The 19,845-nt window shown below is 37.7% G+C and overlaps 1 protein-coding gene and 1 pseudogene across 1 annotated transcript; both read right to left on the bottom strand.

Moving 5' to 3' along the window:
* Positions 1–1,990: 1,990 nt before the first annotated feature.
* OR10G4 (olfactory receptor family 10 subfamily G member 4) lies at positions 1,991–7,726 on the bottom strand. Its single transcript, NM_001004462.2, has 2 exons — positions 7,611–7,726; positions 1,991–5,175 (listed from the first exon to the last, which is right to left on the bottom strand). The coding sequence occupies exon 2, from the start codon at positions 5,146–5,148 to the stop codon at positions 4,213–4,215; it is 936 nt and encodes a 311-aa protein (NP_001004462.1). The 5' UTR covers positions 5,149–5,175; positions 7,611–7,726; the 3' UTR covers positions 1,991–4,212.
* OR10G5P (olfactory receptor family 10 subfamily G member 5 pseudogene) lies at positions 10,307–11,211 on the bottom strand (annotated as a pseudogene).

Below are 19,845 nucleotides of genomic sequence, written 5' to 3'. Positions count from 1 at the left end.
GCAGGAGAAAATAAGTTAAATCTACATTTCTAAGAACTCACCTTATAGTATGTGATTCATTTTAACAGTAAAACTCATCTGAGTTTTTGCCCCAATTTGTCACTTTCCACATGCTGTGTACAGGTGCCAAGTTTGCCGGATACCACTCAAAGAACAGACACATGGTGTTAAGAAAGAGTGGTCCCTTTCTATTCAAGGACCAAACTAGTGGAAGTGCAGGGAATGGAAATGAAGATGGGTAGGAACTTAACTTGATTTATGTCTCAGAAGATGGAATTGCTCTTGGGATTTTGGGTTCCCTTGATGAGCACAAAACAACAGGAAGAGGCCAATGAAAAGTTCTTCATGAGCATGCATGCATTTCCTTAGTGTTTCTTATTTGAACCCCCCTGAGAAGAGCCCAGTGTCTTTCTGGAACCAATATTTATACATACGAAGAAAGAAGGAGGACTGACTTATCCTTTTCCCTCACCAGTGATTGAGAGACACTCATAACTGCTCGCTCTCTACTCTAAATTTTCAATGATCCATAATGGTCCTGGAAAATTTGTTGGCGCTCTCCAGCTCAGCCTCACCATCTCATTCACCATTTTTGTATGGTGGTTCAAAAGATCCAAATTCCCAAAGTTTTTCTGTTGTTTACAGTTTCAGGGTGGCTTTTCCCCAGAGATCTACCTACCTAACGTAATTATATCCCAATTGTATAAGTAATCATTACATATTATTGCTGTTATCATTTTCATTGCTTTTGCAAGCCTGAATAAACACTTTTGATATTTCATGTGTACATCTCCTTTCGAAGATTAACTTTTTAGAATCTTTATTCATTGCTTTTTTCGTGGTAATAGTCTTTATCTTATTGATTTATCTGAAGTTTTACAAATTGAAAGCATTAATTTGTTTTTCACTGTAAGGTAAAATGTACTTTCAAATTTATTGCCATTTAAATGTTTTTAAATTTGTATAGATATGTTTACTGTTCAAGGAAATTTTATAAATTGATTCTACTATGTTTTCTGATGTCAGTATTTTGCTTTAAAAGGATTTTCTTCGCCTATATTGGTGGCTCACACCTGTAATCTCAGCACTTTGGGAGGCCAAGGCAGGCAGATCACTTGAGCCCAGGAATTGGAAACCAGCCTGGGCAACATGGTGAAACCCCGTCTGTGCAAAAAATACAAAAATTAGCTAGGCATGGTGGTGAGTGCCTGTAGACCCAGCTACTCAGGAGGCTGAGGTGGAAGGATCACTTGAGCCTAGGAGGCCAAGGTTACAGTGAGTGGAGATGGTGCTACGGCACTCCAGCCTGAGCGACAGAGCCAGACCCTGTCTCAAAAACAAACAAACAAACAAACAAAAAACAAAACCAACTTCTTGCATACAAGTTTATCAGTTTTCACTTACATAATATTTACTGCTTTAAGGTTTTTTTCCTTCATTTAAATCTTTATTTCATCTGAAATTAATTTTACTTTATGTGTGACATAAGCATGTTTTTATTTTCTATATAATTTGAGATTGTAGTTGTAATTACCTTATTAACTGAAGTGGGTTTCTTCTTAAAAAATTTGATTTAAGATCTCAATTATTTTTATATTCTCTCTTATACTTTGCTTATTAACCTCTAGTTTTATTACATTATTATCAAAGAAAATGAGTGGCAAAATTTCTATTTTAAAATGTAATGACTTTAGTCTCATGTATTATTTTTTGGTTAGCTTTGTTTGTTTATTTTCTTTAAAATTTTTATTGCAAACAAATGCACATCATCACTGGTCATTAGAGAAATGCAAATCAAAACCACAATGAGACACCATCTCATGCCAGCTAGAATGGTGATCATTAAAAAGTCAGGAAACAACAGATGCTGGACAGGATGTGGAGAAATGGGAACGCTTTTAAAGTTGGTGGGAGTGTAAATTAGTTCAACCATTGTGGAAGACAGTGTCACGATTCCTCAAGAATCTAGAACTAGAAATACCATTTGACCCAGCAATCCCGTTACTGGGTATATACCCAAAGGATTATAAATCATGCTACTATAAAGACACATGCACATGTATGTTTATTGCAGCATTGTTCACAATAGCAAAGACTTGGAACCCACCCAAATGTCCATCAATGATAGACTGGATAAAGAAAATGTGGCACATATACACCATGGAATACTATGCAGCCATAAGAAAGGATGAGTTCATGTTCTTTGTAGGGACATTGATGAAACTGGAAACTAATATCTTCCAGCAAAGTAACACAAGAAGAGAAAACCAACACCACATGTTCTCACTCATAAGTGGGAGTTGAACAATGAGAACACATGGACACAGGGAGGGGAACATCACACAAGGGGGCCTTTTGGGGGGTGGGGGGCTGGGGGAGGGATAGCATTAGGGGAAATACCTAATGTAACCGATGAGTTGATGGGTGCAGCAAACCAACATGGCACATGTATTGCTACATAACAAACCTGCACGTTGTGCACATGTATGCCAGAACTTAAAGTATAATAATAAAAAATAAATTTAAAAAAGTATTTTAATTAATTTTTTTCCAAGAAGGTTTTGCATCACTAAAAAGTGTCTTACCTAAAGAAGTGTCATACAGTCCACCACATTTATATCTCTTATCTACTATAATTGAGTTTTTTATGTGTATAGTATGAAATAGGATCGAGACTAATTTTTTTTATTCTGAATACCCAGATACCCCAAAATAATTTATTCAAGAAAGCAATCATGCTTTATTGCTTTGCAGTGTCATCTTTGTCATACGAATATGTATCAGTCTATTTCTTTACTCTGTATTCAGTTCCGTTTTTCTATTTGTCTAGTCTCATACAAATGCAACACTCTCTGAGTTACTAGAGCTTTGCCATAAGTTGTGATAACTAGTGTTGTCAATCTTTCAGTTATCCTTTATTTCTTCAAGAGATTCTTGACCATTTTGGGACTCATTCCATTTCAATCCGCACTTTAAGATCCACATGTCCATAGCTGCAAAATCAAACGCTGGGATTTTACTTGGAATAGCATCAAATCTATAGATCAATTTGAATGGAATTGGCATTTTAAAAATATGAGTCTCCATGTGCACTTTATAATCCTAGATTCATTCAGCAAATTTTATATTTATCTGAAAATATTTTATTTCTATTGTCGTGGTCTTACACATGTCGCTTAAAATTAAATTCAGCTCCGGGTTCTCATCCTCAGCACTATCGGCATTTGGCCATGGTAAGTTTTGTTGTGAGGGTCTCTCCTGTGCATTGTGGAATGTTTAACACTCCTGACCTATAGCCAATAGACGCCAGTGCCTGTGACAAGCAAGAATATTTCCAGACATTGCCAAGTGAACTAGGAGACAAAACAGCCCCAAGTAATCTAGATATTTAAGAGATTTAATTTTTTATATTGGATCTTAACAAACATTAAAAATGGGTGCAAATGTATAAAGTGCGTAAACAATTATATATGTAGTTGTTAGATCATTCGTTATCATTGCTGGATAGTAATCTATTCTGTGAGTATACAATTTCTAATTGATTCATTGGTAATATTTTAAATATTAATAGCTAGCTATTCTTGCCAATTAAAATAGTGTTTCTAGAAATGTTTTCAGATATATATGTAAATAGGCAAATACATACACATACATAAATATATGAAAACCTATATGTTAAATATGCTAAATGTCATGTACTTTCTTTTGTATACATGTTTGGAATAGTATATACACATACAAATATATAGATACGTTAAAACCAAAAACAAATTTGAACAGCCACAATTAGAAAAATGATATTTTTTGCTGGTTTTGAATAATATTTGTTGCTGGTTTTGAACTATGTCTCCATGATGGTAAATTCTTAAGTTTATGTGTATATGAAATCAAACAAAACACAAAAACCGTTTATCAATTTATAAACATGAATTAATCATCTATCCCTGAGATTTGATTAAAATATGTTTTAAACTTAATATAAACCTATTGATGAGAAATGAGTCAATAATTCAGAATATAATCATGTTCATCATAAATATAAGTCTAGCTGTGAGGTTAAAACTGTCTTAGACAATCTGTGGAAGAATTATAACTGTGCAGGTGTTTTGGAATAAAGTTTAACACTGAGAACTATACATATAATCAATTTCACATGAATAACTAAATTAGATTACTATTTTTAAACAAACTAGTGTATTTACTTCCTAGTATTTATTTCCTCTGAGGATGTGCTACTTTGTCTCTAAGTTTCAACACAGCTTTCTTCACCTCCTTGTTTCTCAGGGTGTACACAACAGGGTTGAGAAGGGGCGTCAGCACAGTGTAGAAAATGGCCACAACTCCATCCATGGCATCCATGGAGCCTGGCCTCAGATAAATGACAACACAGGGAACAAAGAAGCAAAGGACCACAATACAGTGGGAGGCACAGGTCTGAAAGGCTCTGCGCCTCCCATCTGAGGTGCGGATCCGCAGGATGGAACAGACGATGGACACATAGGACAGCACTATCAGGACAAAGCAGCCTGAGGCCACTATCCCAATGTCCACAAAGATGACCATCACGTTGGCTGAGGTGTCTGCACAGGCCAGTTTCAGGATGGGCGGTGCGTCACAGAAGTAGTGCTGGATCTGGTTGGGTCCACAGTAGGGCAAATGGAAAGTCAATATGGTCTGGACAGCAGAGTGCAGAGAGCCACTGAGCCAAGTGCCGGTGGCCAGGAGGGCACACCTGCTCCCACTCATCATGCTGGTGTACCTGAGCGGGTAACTGATGGCCAAGTAGCGATCATAGGACATGACTGTGTAGAGGAAACACTCGGTGCTCCCCAGGAAGTGGAAAAAATAGAGCTGAGCCACGCAGCTGTGGAAGGAGATAGCCCTGCCGCTTGGGGACACCAAGGTCATCAGCATTTTGGGCACCGTGACAGTGGAGAACCACATGTCAATGAAGGACAGGTTGGTGAGGAAGTAGTACATGGGGGTGTGGAGGTGAGAATCCACCCTGATCACCAGCAGGATGAGGAGGTTCCCCAGCACAGTGAGCACGTAAACCACCAGGAAGATTCCAAAGAGGAGGGCGTCCAGCCCTGGGGCATGGGGAAGGCCTGTGAGGATGAATGCTGTCACGAGGCTGGCGTTGGACATTTCTTCTCACCCTTGGTCTCTCTCCCTCTGGGGATATAAAGAGCACCCAGCATTTAGCACTTAATTGAGAAATGAGAATCCATTCTCTATGTGGAAACTGCATCAACCAGGTAGATAATTCTGGAGTTATCCTGCACTTCGCTTGTTACAAAGCTTCCCTCACAGAGATGATGATGAAATTATTTCAGCCTCTCTCACACACATGCACACAGGTGCACACACACAGAGACACACATGCAGAAGAAAGTAGAGAAACACTATATTAGATTTCCATTGATATATTAAAAAATAACACAAACTTAGTGCCATAAAACGTGTAAAATTTTTATCTCACCCTCTCTGTGGGCCAGGTCAGCTGGACCCTCTGCTGAGAGTCTCAACAGGTCTCAATCAATGTGTCCCCAGAAGCTGAAATCTCATGGGAGGACCACAGTCCTCTTCCAAGTCTATTGCAGGTGTTGGCAGTATCCCATTCTTGCAGTTTTTGGGCAGAGGTCTCTGTTTTTTTGCTGGTTTTTGGCAGGACATATCAATCTCATTTTACAGAGGTCACCCTATGTCCTAAAATCCTCCTCACCTGGCCTTCGATGACATGACAGCTTACTTCTTCAAATTCAGGAAAAGAATCTCTGTCCAGTTTACTGTAGCAAAATGTTCTGTAACATAATTGTAATTGGGGTGATAGCCCATCATAGTCACAGGTCCCATGCACACTGAAAGGTTATTAAATAGGAAATGTACACCAGTGGGCAGGAATTTAGAGGGCTCCTTGGGATTCCACCTACCATATTCTATTTTCATTGCAGAGTTCATGGGAAAACTTAAAAGAGCAAGAATTTAATTGTTACTAGGAATGAAACACAATACACATAAATTATCCACTAGTTTCCTCATATGTTATTATATTTGACATCACTAACATCACCCACCTCGCTGATAAATTATCAGCATTAAATAAGGTTATATATGTATATATACGTACATGCATTTCCAACTGAGGTACCAGGTTCACCTCACTGGGGAGTGCCGGAAAGTGGGTGCAGGACAGTGGGTGCAGCACACCATGTGTGAGCCGAAGCAGGGCGAGGCATCGCTTCATCTGGGAAGCGCAAGGGATCAGGGAATTCCCTGACTAAATACTATCCCTGGCAGGTAATAACTGCTTGATAAATGATAGTGAGTTTTATGACATTGTGCCTCGCAGCAGTGTTATGGATTTGCCATTCTTTGTCTTAGATAGAGTTCATATATTCTCTGAGTGTTTTCAGAGAGTCCTTAATCTAAGAGCTATGTCTTTGTGGACTATTTCATGCCCAATATTGTTACTGATGTCCTTACTATTGCCTGCTTTTAAAGGGCTTCTCCTAGGTCTCTTAGAGAAGGTAAGAATCTCAGCACAACTCTATAGTGGGATTCCTACAACCTCCCACCTCCCAAATTATCCAGAGAGCACCAAGCTTCATACATGACTGGCCCTGTTTCTCTTACACTAGGCCATCCCCTGGGAGGTTCTAAGAACATGATGTTCATATGTGCTCTCCCAACTACAATCTACTAGATAGGGGCTAGCTTTCTGTTGTACATCACTCTATCCTAGATGTGTAAATGTTTCCTAATATTGGCTTCGTTAGAGATAACATTTTGCCCCCCATGATCTTCCCCTCCTCCACATATTCATAACCCCAGGCAATGCATAATAAAAGACAATTCTTTCAAGTCTATGTTTCTTTTTTAATACCTGCCACCTAAGACAGGAAAACAGAACCAATGCAAGAGGAAGGATATATATTGGCGTGATGTCCAGAAAAGCTGAGATTCTGTACAATTGGTATTCAGGTTGAAATGATGTTTTTAACTGCATACAAAATGTTTTCTTAGTCTAGGCTTGTTATGAATTGTTCTGTGGGGAAGACTATGAAACTGATTCACTGATATGGAAGAAACCAGGATATCTGCAGTTTACAGAACCCAGGTAAAATGTATCCTGACATTACCACCAGGAAATGCAGCTGAAGCTACATTAAAGCAAGGGTTTTCAAACATGTAAATAAATAGCAGAAGCAGCATTATTATAATCACCGACATGGATATCAGAACCTTAAAAATAGAACCTATAACTCTGAAATTTCTACTGTACCAGCAGGACCCAATCCTCAGGAATACAGCATAATCAGATTTTATGAAATATGAAAATTTTATGAGGTGAAGTCCATTGTTCCCTGATACTTAAGGCAGGAGTCTCAATCAGTAAAGACAATGTTTGCCTTGACTATCCCTGATGAAGACATTTGGTCCCTATTTGTATAACCTCAATTACATCACTCTACCTTGATTAATTTTAGATCAATTTTAGAACACATTCTAATAATTCCTGAATATCTTAGCTCTGAATTAAAGTTAAGATAAAGAAAAGAAGGGAAGATAGAGAAAATAAGTTTAAATCTGCATTTCTAAGGACTCACCTTGCAGTATGTGATTCTTCTCAGTAGTAAAACTCATCTAACTTTTTCCCCCAATTTTTCACTTTCTACCCACTACGTATAGGCACTAGTTTGCAAGATATCACTCAAACAACCGGTGCACAGTGTTGAGAAAGAGTGGTCCATTTCTATTTAAGGACCAAACTAGTTGAAGTGCAGGGAATGGAAATGAACATGGGCAGGAACTTAACTTGATTTGTGTCTCAGAGGATGGGATTGCTCTGGGGCTTTTGGGTTCCCCTGAGGAGCACAAAACAACAGGAAGAGACCAATGAAAAGTTCTTCATAAGCATGCATGCATTTCCTTAGTGTTTCTTATTTGAACCCTCCTGAGAAGAGTCCTTATCTTCCTGGAACTAATATTTGTATCTAAGAGGAAAGAAGGAGGAATGACTTACTCTTTTCCCTCACCAGTGATTGAGAGACACTCACAACTGCTTGCTCTCAACTTAAAATTTTCCAGAATCCATAATTGTCCTCATTTGGTGCTCTGCAGCTCAGCATCACTCTCTCATTCGTCTTTGTATAGTGGTTCAAAACACCCAAATTCCCAAACTTTTTTTGTTGTTTAGAGTTTCAGAATGGCTCTTCCCCAAAGATAAACCTACCTAAAATAATTATTTCCCAGTTGTATAAGTAATAACTAGATAGCACTGCTGTCATAATTTTCATTGCTTTTACAAGCATGAGTAAACACTGTTCAACATTTCATGCATATATCTCCTTTTGAAAATCAACTTTTTAAGATCTTTACCGACTTCTTTCCTTTTAGATAATAGTCTTTATCTTATTAACTTGTCTGAAGTTTTACAAATTAAAAACATTAATTCTTTGTTTTATTGTAAGATAAAATGTGCTCAAATTTTTGTTAAATAATTTTTATTTGTACAGATGATTTTAATGTTCTAGGATAGTTTATGAATTGATTCCAATATATTTCTGGTGTTAGTATTTTGCTTTCAAAGGATTTTCTTGTACACAGGCTTATTACTTTTCACTTATATAATATCTAATGCTTTAAGTTTTTTTTTCCTTCATTATATCCCTATTTCATTGGAAGTTAATTTTACTTCACATGTAACATCAGGATGTTTTTATTTGCTATATAATTTTAATTATAGTTATAATTACCTCATTAACAGAAGGTGTTTTTATGGATTTTGTTTAAATTCTCATGGTTTTGTTTTCTGTCTTATAACTTGCTTATTAAACTCTGGTTTTATTACATTATATGCAAAGAAAATAAGCTGAAAATTTTCTATTTCAAAATGTAATAACTTTAATGTATCATTTTTATGGTTAGCTTCTTCTGTCTGTTTTCTTTGAAATATATTTACTAACTGAATGTCATAAAATCTACTGCATTTTTATCTCCTATCCATTGTAATTGATTTTTTATGTGTATAATATGAGATAGGGTCAAGATTATTTTTTCATTCTGAAAACCCAATAACTCTAAATAATGTATTGAAGAAACCATTATTGATTTACTGCACTGAAGTGCCATCTTTGTTATATGAATATATACAAGTCTATTTCTTTCATCCTCTCTTCATTTCCATACAAATACTTATACCAATTCTACACTTTCTGAATTACTATAACTTCATAATAGGTTTTGGTATCTGGTGTTGTGTATCTTTTGACTGTATTTTATTTCTGCAAGACTGCCTTGATCATTTTCCTGATCCATTTCATTTCAATATACACCGTAGGATCTACATATTCATATCTGCAAAATCAAATGCTGGGATTTTATTGGAATTACATTGAATCTATATATCAATTCAAAGAGAATTGGTGACTTTAAAATATGAATCTTCCATTTTATATGCATATAGTAATGCCCAATTTCTTCAGCAACTTTTATATTTCTTTGAAAATGTCTTGTTATTTCTATTGTAGTGGTCTCACACATTTTTACTTAAAGTTAAAGTCAGATCAAGGTTTCTCATATTCAGCACAATGAATGTTTCGAGCAAGATAAGCCTTGTGATGAGGGTCTGTGCTATGCACTATGGGATGTTTACCCACATCCCTGACCTCTAGCCACTGGATGCAAGCACCTGTGACCTGCAACAATATCTCCAGACATTGCTAAGCAAAACTGGCAGGGCAAGATTGCCCTCACTGATCTAGATATTTAATTTTTTTATATTGAATGTTAATAAACATAAATGAGCACAAAAGATAAATGCATATATCATCTTACATGTAGCTATAGATCATATATTATCATTGCTGTATAGTAATCCATTGTGTGAATATACAACAATTTATATTACATTCATTATTTGATAGTCATTTTGAATAGTTTGCTATCTCTGCCAATTTAATACGGTGTTTCTACAAATAATATTTTAGGGGATATATGTACATATAAATGTATATGTGTGTGTGTGTGTTGAATTTTCATTAACATATCTATACATTATATATTATATGCTTTCTTTTGCATACATTTGGATTTGTATATACATGTACAAATGCATAGATATACTAAAACAACCAAAAAGATATTTAAATAGAAATAGCCACAAACAGAAAAATGACCTCTCATATTTGTTATCCTTAAACGATATCCCCCACGATTGTAAATTCTTAAATTTTTGTGTACACACAAAAAAATACAAAAGCATATCATCAGCTCACATATATGAATGATTCCACTGTGTATCCCTGAGACCCAACTACAATATATATATATATATATTTTTAAAAGTTAAAAAAATCTATTGATGAGAAATGCATCAATAGATACTACAAGCATGTTCATCATAAATAAAAATCTAGCTGTGAATTTAAAAATGTCTTAGATAATCTGTGAAAGAATTATAACTGTGCAAGTTGTTTGGAATAATGTTTAATGCTGAGACCTATACATGTAATAAATTTCACTTGGATAACTAAATTATATTACTAATTTTGAATTGCCCACTAAGAACTATCAACTCTTAGTTACCCACTCAGATCTGCCAGGATGATGAGTGGGAGCCCGTGTGCCCCCCGGGCCACTAGCATTTGGCTCACTTCGTGGGGAGTGTTTTCACTACCTGGGAAGTGCTGAGTATTTCCTCTATAGCGATCATAGGACATGACCGTGTAGAGCAAACACTCGGTGCTCCCCAGGAAGTAGAAGAAATAGAGTTGGGTCATACAACTGTGGAAGGACACAGCCTTGCCACACAGGGACAACAAGGTCCTCGGCATTTTGGGCACCATGACAGTGAAGAACCACAAGTCAATGAAGGACAGATTGGTGAGGAAGTAGTACTTGGGGGTGTGGAGGTGAGAGTACACCCTGATCACCAGCAGGATGAGGAGGTTCCCCAGCACAGTAAGCACATAAACCACCAGGAAGACTCCAAAGAGTGGGGCGTCCAGAGCTGGGACATGGGGAAGGTCCATGAGGATGAATGCTGTCATGAGTTGGACATTTCTTCTCACCCTTCATCTCTCTCCCCACTGGGATATAAAGAGCATCCAGCATGTAGCAGTTAATTGAGAACTGATAACCCATTCTCTATGTGGAAACGGCATCAACCATGGTAGATAATTCTACAGTTATCCTGGCCTTCCCTGTTACAAAGCTTCTTTCATAAAGATGAAGTAATTTTCCAATCTTTCTCTCTCTCTCTCTCTCTGTTACTCAAACACAAACACACATAAATAGAGACCCACATGCAGAAGAAAGTAGAAGAAACACACTGTATTAGATTTTCACTGATATATTAAAAATGACCATAAACAGTGGCATAAAGCATGTAAATTTATTATTTAACCCTCTCTGTGGGTCAGGTCAGTTGGACCCTCTGCTCAAGGTCTCAGCAGGTTTTAATCAGTATATCAGCCAGAGGCTGCAATTTCATTTGAGGCTTGGGATCATCCTCCAAGATTATTGCTTTTGGCACGATTCAGTTCCTTACAGTTTTAGGACTGATGTCCCAGTTTTCCTGTTGGTTGTTGGCAGGGCATATCACTCTCAGCTTATAGAAGCCATCCTAGATCCTAGGATCCTCATTACCTGGCCTTCTACAACATGACAGCTTACTTCTTTAATACCAGCAAGAAAATCTCTCTCCAGTTTGCTCTGCTAATGTATTATGTAATATAATGGAATCAGTGGAGTGAAATCCTGTCATTTTCCCAAGTCCCACCCACACTAAGGGGACAGTGATTATATAGGGAGGATATACAACGAAGGTGGTCTAGGGGATCTGTGAGGTTATTTTGAATTCTACCCATCACATTTTATTAATTCTAAGAATTTACTTTTAGGTAGCAGTTAATATTTCAAAAGTTTACAGTATACCAAATTCATCTCTAGTTTCCTCACATATTACTTGGTATTACTAGCCTCACTTACCTGACTGAGAAGTTATAAGTATTAAATAAGATGAAACATGTAAAGTACTTAGCACTGTGTCTGGCAGGTGATAACCGCTCAATAAATGACAGGGAGTCATGAAACATTATGCCTCGCAGCAGTATTACAGAACTGCCATTTTTGATCACGGAGAGTAAGAAAATACATATATCTTATTATTATCCTATTATGATTAGTTTTCTCAATTTCAAAGCTAGATTTTGAGGAAGGATTCATTCCTGCTACTGCTACTGGTGCCCCCATTCCTGCCTCTATTTAAAAGGGTGTCTCTCAAGTCTCTCAGATCAGGTAAGGATCTTAGCACAACTCATAGTGGGATTTCCCACAACCTCCCAAATGACCCAGAAAATACCAGGCTTCATACATGACTCCCCTCCTGTTTCTCTTACACTTCACCATCCCCCAAGAGGCTCCAGAAACATGACGTTCATATGTGCTCTCCCAACTACAACCTACTAGGTATCACACATACCTCTATCCCAGATGTCTAAATATTTTCTAATATTGATTTTGTTAGAGAACATGTTTTGCCCCTACCATTCTCCCCTACTCTTCATGCTCATAAACCTAGGAAAATGTTCTTATAAGAGAAGACAATTCCATCAAATCTATGTTTCTTATTTAATAGCTACCACCTGAGACAGGGAAAATGAAACCAAAGCAGGAGGGAAGACATATGTTGGCTTGATGTCGAAAAAAGTTGGTATTCTATACAATTAAAATTGAAGCAGAAATTACATTTTAACTGAATACAATATATCATCTTAGTTCAGAATTTTTATTAATAGTTTATGGGAAAATACTATAAAACTGTTTCACCAATACAAAACAAACCAGGATCTCTGCTATTAGTAGAGCTGAGATACAATGTGTCCTATCTTTAAGGTATGTGACTTAAGCTACATTAAAGTCAGATTTTTTCCAATATGAGAATAAATAAAAGGGATAGGATTATTGAAATCATCAACATAGATATAAGAACTTACAAAAATAAAACAAATACAACTACTGCACCAGGAGGACCCAATCCCTAAGATAGCCTCATATTCCAATTTGATGAAATATGAAAATTTTAATCATGTGAAGTTCAAGATAGCCTGAGACTTTAAGACAGGAGTGTCAATGAGTGGGGTCAATGTTTGATTTGCTCATTTATGCTGTAGCAACTTAGACCCTATTTGTAGATCCTTAATTACTTTATCTGTCTATCTATCTATCTATAGATAATTACCCTATCTATCTATCTATCTATCTATCTATCTATCTATCTATCCATCTATCTATCTATCTATCTGTGAAGAGAGACTAGATTACCAAAGTTAGGATGAATGCTAACGATTTCCAAGTAACATTGTTCTACATGGAACTTGAAGATGAAGAGAAACAGGAAAAATGAGTTAAATCTGCCCCTTTAAGAACTCACCTTACAGTATGTTATTCATTTCAATAATAAAACTCATCAGAATTTTTTCTCAAAAGTTTTTACTTTCTATACCCTATGTTCAGGCCCTAGTTTGAAAGTTATCACTCAAAGAACAGATACACAGTGTTGAGAAAGAGTGGTCCATTTCTACACAGGGACCAAACTAGTTGAAGTGCAGGGAACTGAACTTAATTTGTGTTTCACAGGCTGGGATTTCTCTTGGGCTTTCAGATTCCCTTGATGAACACAAAAACAATAGGAAGAGACCAATAAGAGGTTCTTCATCAGCATGCACGTAATTCCTTAGTGTTTCTTATTTGAACTCTCCTGAGAACAGCACATGCCTTCCTGTAACTAATATTTATACCTAAGAGGAAGGAAAGACTTATCCTTTTCCCTCACCAATGATTGAGAAACACTCACAACTGCTTGCTCTCAACTTAAAATTTTCCAGAATCCATAATGGTCCTCACCTGTTGGCACTCTCCAGCTCAGCATCACTCTCTCATTCATCATGTTTGAATAGTGGTTCAAAAGATCCAAATTCCCAAATATTTTTTTGTTGTTTAGACTTTCAGAATGACTTTTCCCAAAGAAATACCTAATCTAATTATTTCCTGATTGTATAAGTAATCATTAGATATTATTGCTGTCATAATTTTCATTGCTTTTACACACATGAGTAAATACATATTATTTTATAAGAGTATGATATAGAACCCTATCACATGTGTATGACAAGTGTATCTCCCTTTGTGAATTAGCTGTTCAGAACTTCATAACTTTATTATTTCTTTCTTTTAATAGTCTTTTCTTATTGATTTTTCTGAACCTTTAGGAAACAAAAACATTAATTCATTGTTTTATTATAAGGTAAAATGTACTTCAAATTTGTCTTTTTAAATATTTTTTCTATAAATGTTTTCCAGTGTTCTAGAATATTTAATCAATGGCTCATCAAGTCACCATGCGACCTGAACTGCCTGTTATAAACTGGGTGCTTTCTGACCCATATAGTCATAAAGTGGTTTGTGCACAGAGACATCCCATAAACAAATGGAAATGATATATACATGATCGGGCTCAAGCAGGTCTTGAAGGCACAAGCAAGTTACATGAAGCAGTAACTCAAGTGCCCATGGTCTCCACTCCTGCCACCCTGCCTTCTCTCCCCCAGCCTACACCAATGGCCTCATGGGGAGTTCCCTATGATCAGTTGACAGAGAAAGAAAAGACTAGGGCCTGGTTCACTGATGGTCCTGCACGATATGCAGGCATCACCTGAAAGTGGACAGCTGCAGCACTACAGCCTCTTTCTAGGACATCCATGAAGAACAGCAGTGAAGGGAAATGTTCCCAGTGGGCAGAACTTCAAGCAGTGGAGAAGGAGAAATGGCCAGATATGCAATTACATACTGATTCGTGGGCTGCAGCCAATGGTTTGGCTGGATGGTCAGGGACTTGGAGGAGGCATGAATGGAAAATTGGTGACAAAGAAGTTTGGAGAAGAGGTATGTGGATGGACCTCTCTGAGTGGTCAAAAAATGTGGGGATATTTGTATCCCATGTGAGTGCTCACCAATGGGTGATCTCAGCAGAGGTGGATTTTAATTATCAAGTGGATAGGATGACCTGTTCTGTGGACACCACTCACCCTCTTTCCCCAGGCACTCTGTCATCACCCAATGGGCCCATGAAAAAAGTGGCCATGGTGGCAGGGATGGAGGTTACGAATGGGCTTAACTACATGGACTTCCATTCGCCAAGGCTGACCTGGCTATGGCCACTGCTGAGTGCCCAATTTGCTGGCAGCAGAGACCAACCATGAGCCCTCAATATGGCACCATTCCTTGAGGTGATCAGCCAGCTACCTGGTGGAAGGTTGATTCAATTGAATTTCTTCCATAATGGAAAGGACAGAGGTTTGTCCTCACTGGAATAGACACTCCAGATATGGGTTTGCCTATCCTGCACGGAGTGCTTCTGCCAAGACTACCATCTGTGGACTCATGGAATGCCTAATCGACCATCATGGTATTCTACAGAGTATTGCCTCTGACCAAGGCACTCACTTTACGGCTAAAGAAGTACATCAATGGGCTTGTGATCATGGAATTCACTGGTCTTACCACGTTCCTCATCATTCTGAAGCAGCTGGATTGAAAGAAAGGTGGAATGGCCTTTTGGAAGTCACAATTATAACACCAACTAGGTGACAATACTTTGCCAGGCTGGGGCAGTAAGGTTATAAAGAAAATCAAGGGAAGGTTAACAGACATTTCAGGAACATTATCTCTGGTAGGGAGAGAAGAGGCTGTATGGGATAAAAGCACAAAAATAAATTCATTTAATGGTTTTGCAACATTTTATTATCAAATTGGATCCTGATTACACATTTTATTATTATATATGTATATATGTATGTATGAATATGTGGTTATGTATTCACATGTAAAAATTGTTTGCATATAACATATTTTGTATTTGGAAATTTGGACAAAAGCATTAATCAGTTAATATCACTGTGCTAGTGACTGTACTGACATATTCCAATAAAAACACATCTAGATCGGGAGATATAATATTAGTGGCTACCAAGTTAACTTACAATTCCCGGTCATTCTTCACCTATCAAACTGCTGAGTTAAAGGGAAATGTGATAAAAATTTACATCCTGAATCTTTTAAGACGTTGATAGTGGTATTAATCTCAGTGAGCTGCCCTAAAGGTGCAGTAGTTTTTATGACTCTTTTACTGGAAATTGGAATACCCAGGGGCTTCCATATGCCCCTCTCTATCGAAACAGCCCCTACTTATTTCCAGGTCAGGGAATCAACACAGAGATTCTCTCAGCTGCTAAGAACATCAATTCCAACTTCACACTCCTAAACTAGGAAATAAGGTCAGAGTAATTCGACATTCTACTAAGGTGGACTTGGTTCCAAACTCCATTCATTACCTCACAAAGATAGAGTTCAATAAATTTAAAATGGTCTGGATATTTTCCCTGACTATTTAATCCACGGAAGGGAGACAGGTCCATCCGAGGAAGGCCAGGAAGAATATTCATAGCACATGCTTGTGTTGTTACTGTAGAGAATACCTGCTCTGCTTTTAAATGACACTGACTCAGTAAACTGACTCAACCAGGGAACTGGTCAATGGCATTGACACTCATGGTGGCTTAATTTTGGCCTCTATTTATGAGATCTGATAGAATTTTATTATATTAAGCAAAAAGGAAGGGCTTTCAGGTTTGCCAAAATTCTTTGTTGGTTGATCCATTTAGACTACCACAGTGCTCTTATTGTTCACTCTAATAACTTTCTCCACTTCTCCTCTGGTAGTTTAGTCCCACTACTTATGATCCGTCAATCGTCGTAATGTTGAGAAGTTCATTTCAACTGCATCCGTCTACTAGTATCCTTGGCCCCTAATGTTTCCTTCCTCAATGTAATTTTTAGACACTTGGTAAAGGGAGTAAGTTTCTTGCTCTTTCAGGGAATATGGGTTACACACAAGTAGACAGGTGGCACTTGATAAATCTACTTCTATATATTTGGTTTACCAAGCCATTAGATTTCTGTTGCTGTACCTTAACTTTATTTAATGTAAGCTACTGTTGAGCCTAAGTGTCAATCAACCAATCAGTAAGTAAATAACATAAGACTACTATTATCTGAGCAAGCTGGTACATTGGATGCAGAACGTCTGGGAAACACACTCATGTTGAGAATGCATACAAATCTTCAATGGCACTCCTATGTTTGTTGCAGCACTGTTCACAATAGTCAAGATTTGGAAGCACCCTAAGTGCTCATCAACAGATGAGTGAATAGAGAAAATGTGGTACATATACACAAGGAAGTGGTATGTATTCAGCCATAAACAAGAATGAGATCCTGTGATTTGCAACAACATGGATGGAACTGGAGATCATTATGTCAAGTGAAATAAGCCACGCATGGAAAGACAAACATCACATGTTCTCATTTATTTTGGGGAGCTAAAAATCAAACCCATTAAACTCATGGACACAGAGAGTAGAAGGATGGTTACCAGAGTCTAGGAAGAGTAATGGGGGAATTGGGGAGGAAGTGTGGATGGTTAATGGGTACAAAAAATAGTTAGAAAGAAGGAATAAGACCTGCTACTTGAAAGCACAGTTGGGTGACTACAGTCAATAATAACTTAATTGTACATTACAAAATAACTTAAAGAGTGTAATTGGATTGTTTGTAACTCAGAGGATAAATGCTTTAGGGGATAGATAAAAAATGATGAAAAAAACTTTTTCAGAATTTATTTTCATCAGACAAAAATTAATGTGGGAAAGGGGGTGAACTAAGGAGGGAGGAAGGGCATCTGAGATGTGTGACTGAAGAAAGCTCTTTCTTGGAGCAGCATCTTGGATCTGGAAGCAAGATAGGAATAGCCTCATCAGACAGGGAAGTAGAGACCAATTTTTCTGGCTATGAAGATTCCATGTGCAGTTGGGAATCAGGGCACTGCATCATTCAAATCTTGCCACTAATCTCCTTTGCATTTTAGAGTCCTGTTCTTTTCAAATTATTTCCTAATTTTACATGAGAACCCTGGAAAAATAAATTCATCTGATATTATAATTAAGAATCTACATTCCAAAGATATGTGTTGGGCTGGGAGCGGTGGCTCATGCCTGTAATCCCAGCACTTTGGGAGGCCGAGGCGGGAGGATCACCAGGTCAAGAGATTGAGACCATCCTGGCCAACAGGGTGAAACCCTGTCTCCACTAAAAATACAAAAATCAGCTGGGCGTGGTGGTGCGTGCCTATAGTCCCAGCTACTTGGGAGGCTGCAGCAGGAGAATTGCTTGAACCTGGGAGGCAGAGGTTGCAGTGAGCTGAGATCATGCCACTGCACTCCAGCCTGGTGACAGAGTGAGACTCCATCTCAAAAAAAACCAAACCAAAACAAAACATATTGTTTTTGCTATTTCAGCCAGTGGCCACAACAAAATGAGACATTATTTTATCACAATCACTGAATGTCCCTGGGCTTCCGTATATCCTTTATCTGAAAATGGCAGATTTGAGACTCTCAGACCCTTCCTGTAAGCTGCTACTTGCATTAGAAATTGCCATCCCATTCCAAAATAACTTAAATTTTTTATGCCCTTCCTAGGTATAAGCAGAAAATAAATTTACTAATATGATATGTAAAATCACCAGGAGAGGTAGAGAACCAATGACCCCATTCCAACTGTTAGTGTCCCACCCTTTCACAGTAAATGTCTTAACTACCACAAAAGAAACGTAGTAAGTATGTGTATTTAACCTACATTGCAATTCATTAACTTAACTAGATTATCCCCAGTTCTATAAGAGATAGCAGATTCTGCTCAGACAGTTATAGAAATAATCTGGTTCTCTGTCCATGTATTAAGTTAGAAATTTGAAACCTGAGGACTGTGATTTTAAGGTCTTCATTACAGATAAGCAGTCAACACCCAACAGTCCTTGTTTTCCCATGTGTTCTTCTAAATGATCTATTACACCAGACATCCAGGCCAGAAAACCTTCCTAATGCAAATGTCTTCAAATCGGGCGACCACAATTAATACTTAACATTAACTCTTCTGACGGGCATCCAATGTCATCAGCTACCAATGGCCTTCCTCAATTTCTATTCAAATCCTCACTCACCACTTTCAAATCTACCCAAGTCAGTCAAACCTACATTATCATTCGTTCAAGGTTTTCTCACCCGATACCCCTTCTGGTTCAAAACACCCCACAGAGGATAACATGCATCTGGCTAGTGTCTCCACTCTCTGGACCTTGAAATGTCTTGTATGATTCTCCTCTGGCTCTTGTGACATTTTGACCCCCTGTTCTCACTGTCTCTTTTTTTGCTCACTGGCTACAATCTCCCTGCCTGTCCTGTGCTGTGACTTAGATAAAGATGGAGCAGTTCCCTTACCAAAAAATGAGACCAACTTTAGGGAAATTCATAGGTTACTTTTGATCTGCCACTACAGTTTTTTCCCACACATTGTGTACTCTCATGTACTAACTTTGTAGTGTCGTGATAATTCTCATATCTGCCCAATCCCCTTTTCTGTCAATCTATGAATATACCATTTGAGAGAAGCCTACGGGTATCATTTAGCCAGGTACCTACGGTCTTACCTGGCATAACCTCAACCTCAAATCATTTTTACTTCATTTTCAATTTCTCCTCTATCATCGTCTTCTTTTGGTAAGGTTTCCGGTGACCGTGAGTCTCAGTCTATAATTCTTAACCCATAACAAGATCTTCATGTACTCCCACAAACCCAATCAAAACCCTTTGTTTCTTCCGGAATATCTTACCCACTGGCCTGTTCATTAGCTCATTCTACTTCCAACTCTGAGGCCCACTGACC

Source organism: Homo sapiens, chromosome 11 (assembly GCF_000001405.40).
Source record: "Homo sapiens chromosome 11, GRCh38.p14 Primary Assembly".
Classification (NCBI taxonomy): Eukaryota; Metazoa; Chordata; class Mammalia; order Primates; family Hominidae; genus Homo; species Homo sapiens.
Note: the sequence above shows the minus strand (reverse complement) of the source record. Positions and strands in the feature narration are given on the sequence as shown.

Coding starts and splice junctions, on each gene's coding strand:
- OR10G4 (NM_001004462.2), bottom strand. CDS start 5,148: ATGTCCAACGCCAGCCTCGTGACAGCATTCATCCTCACAGGCCTTCCC.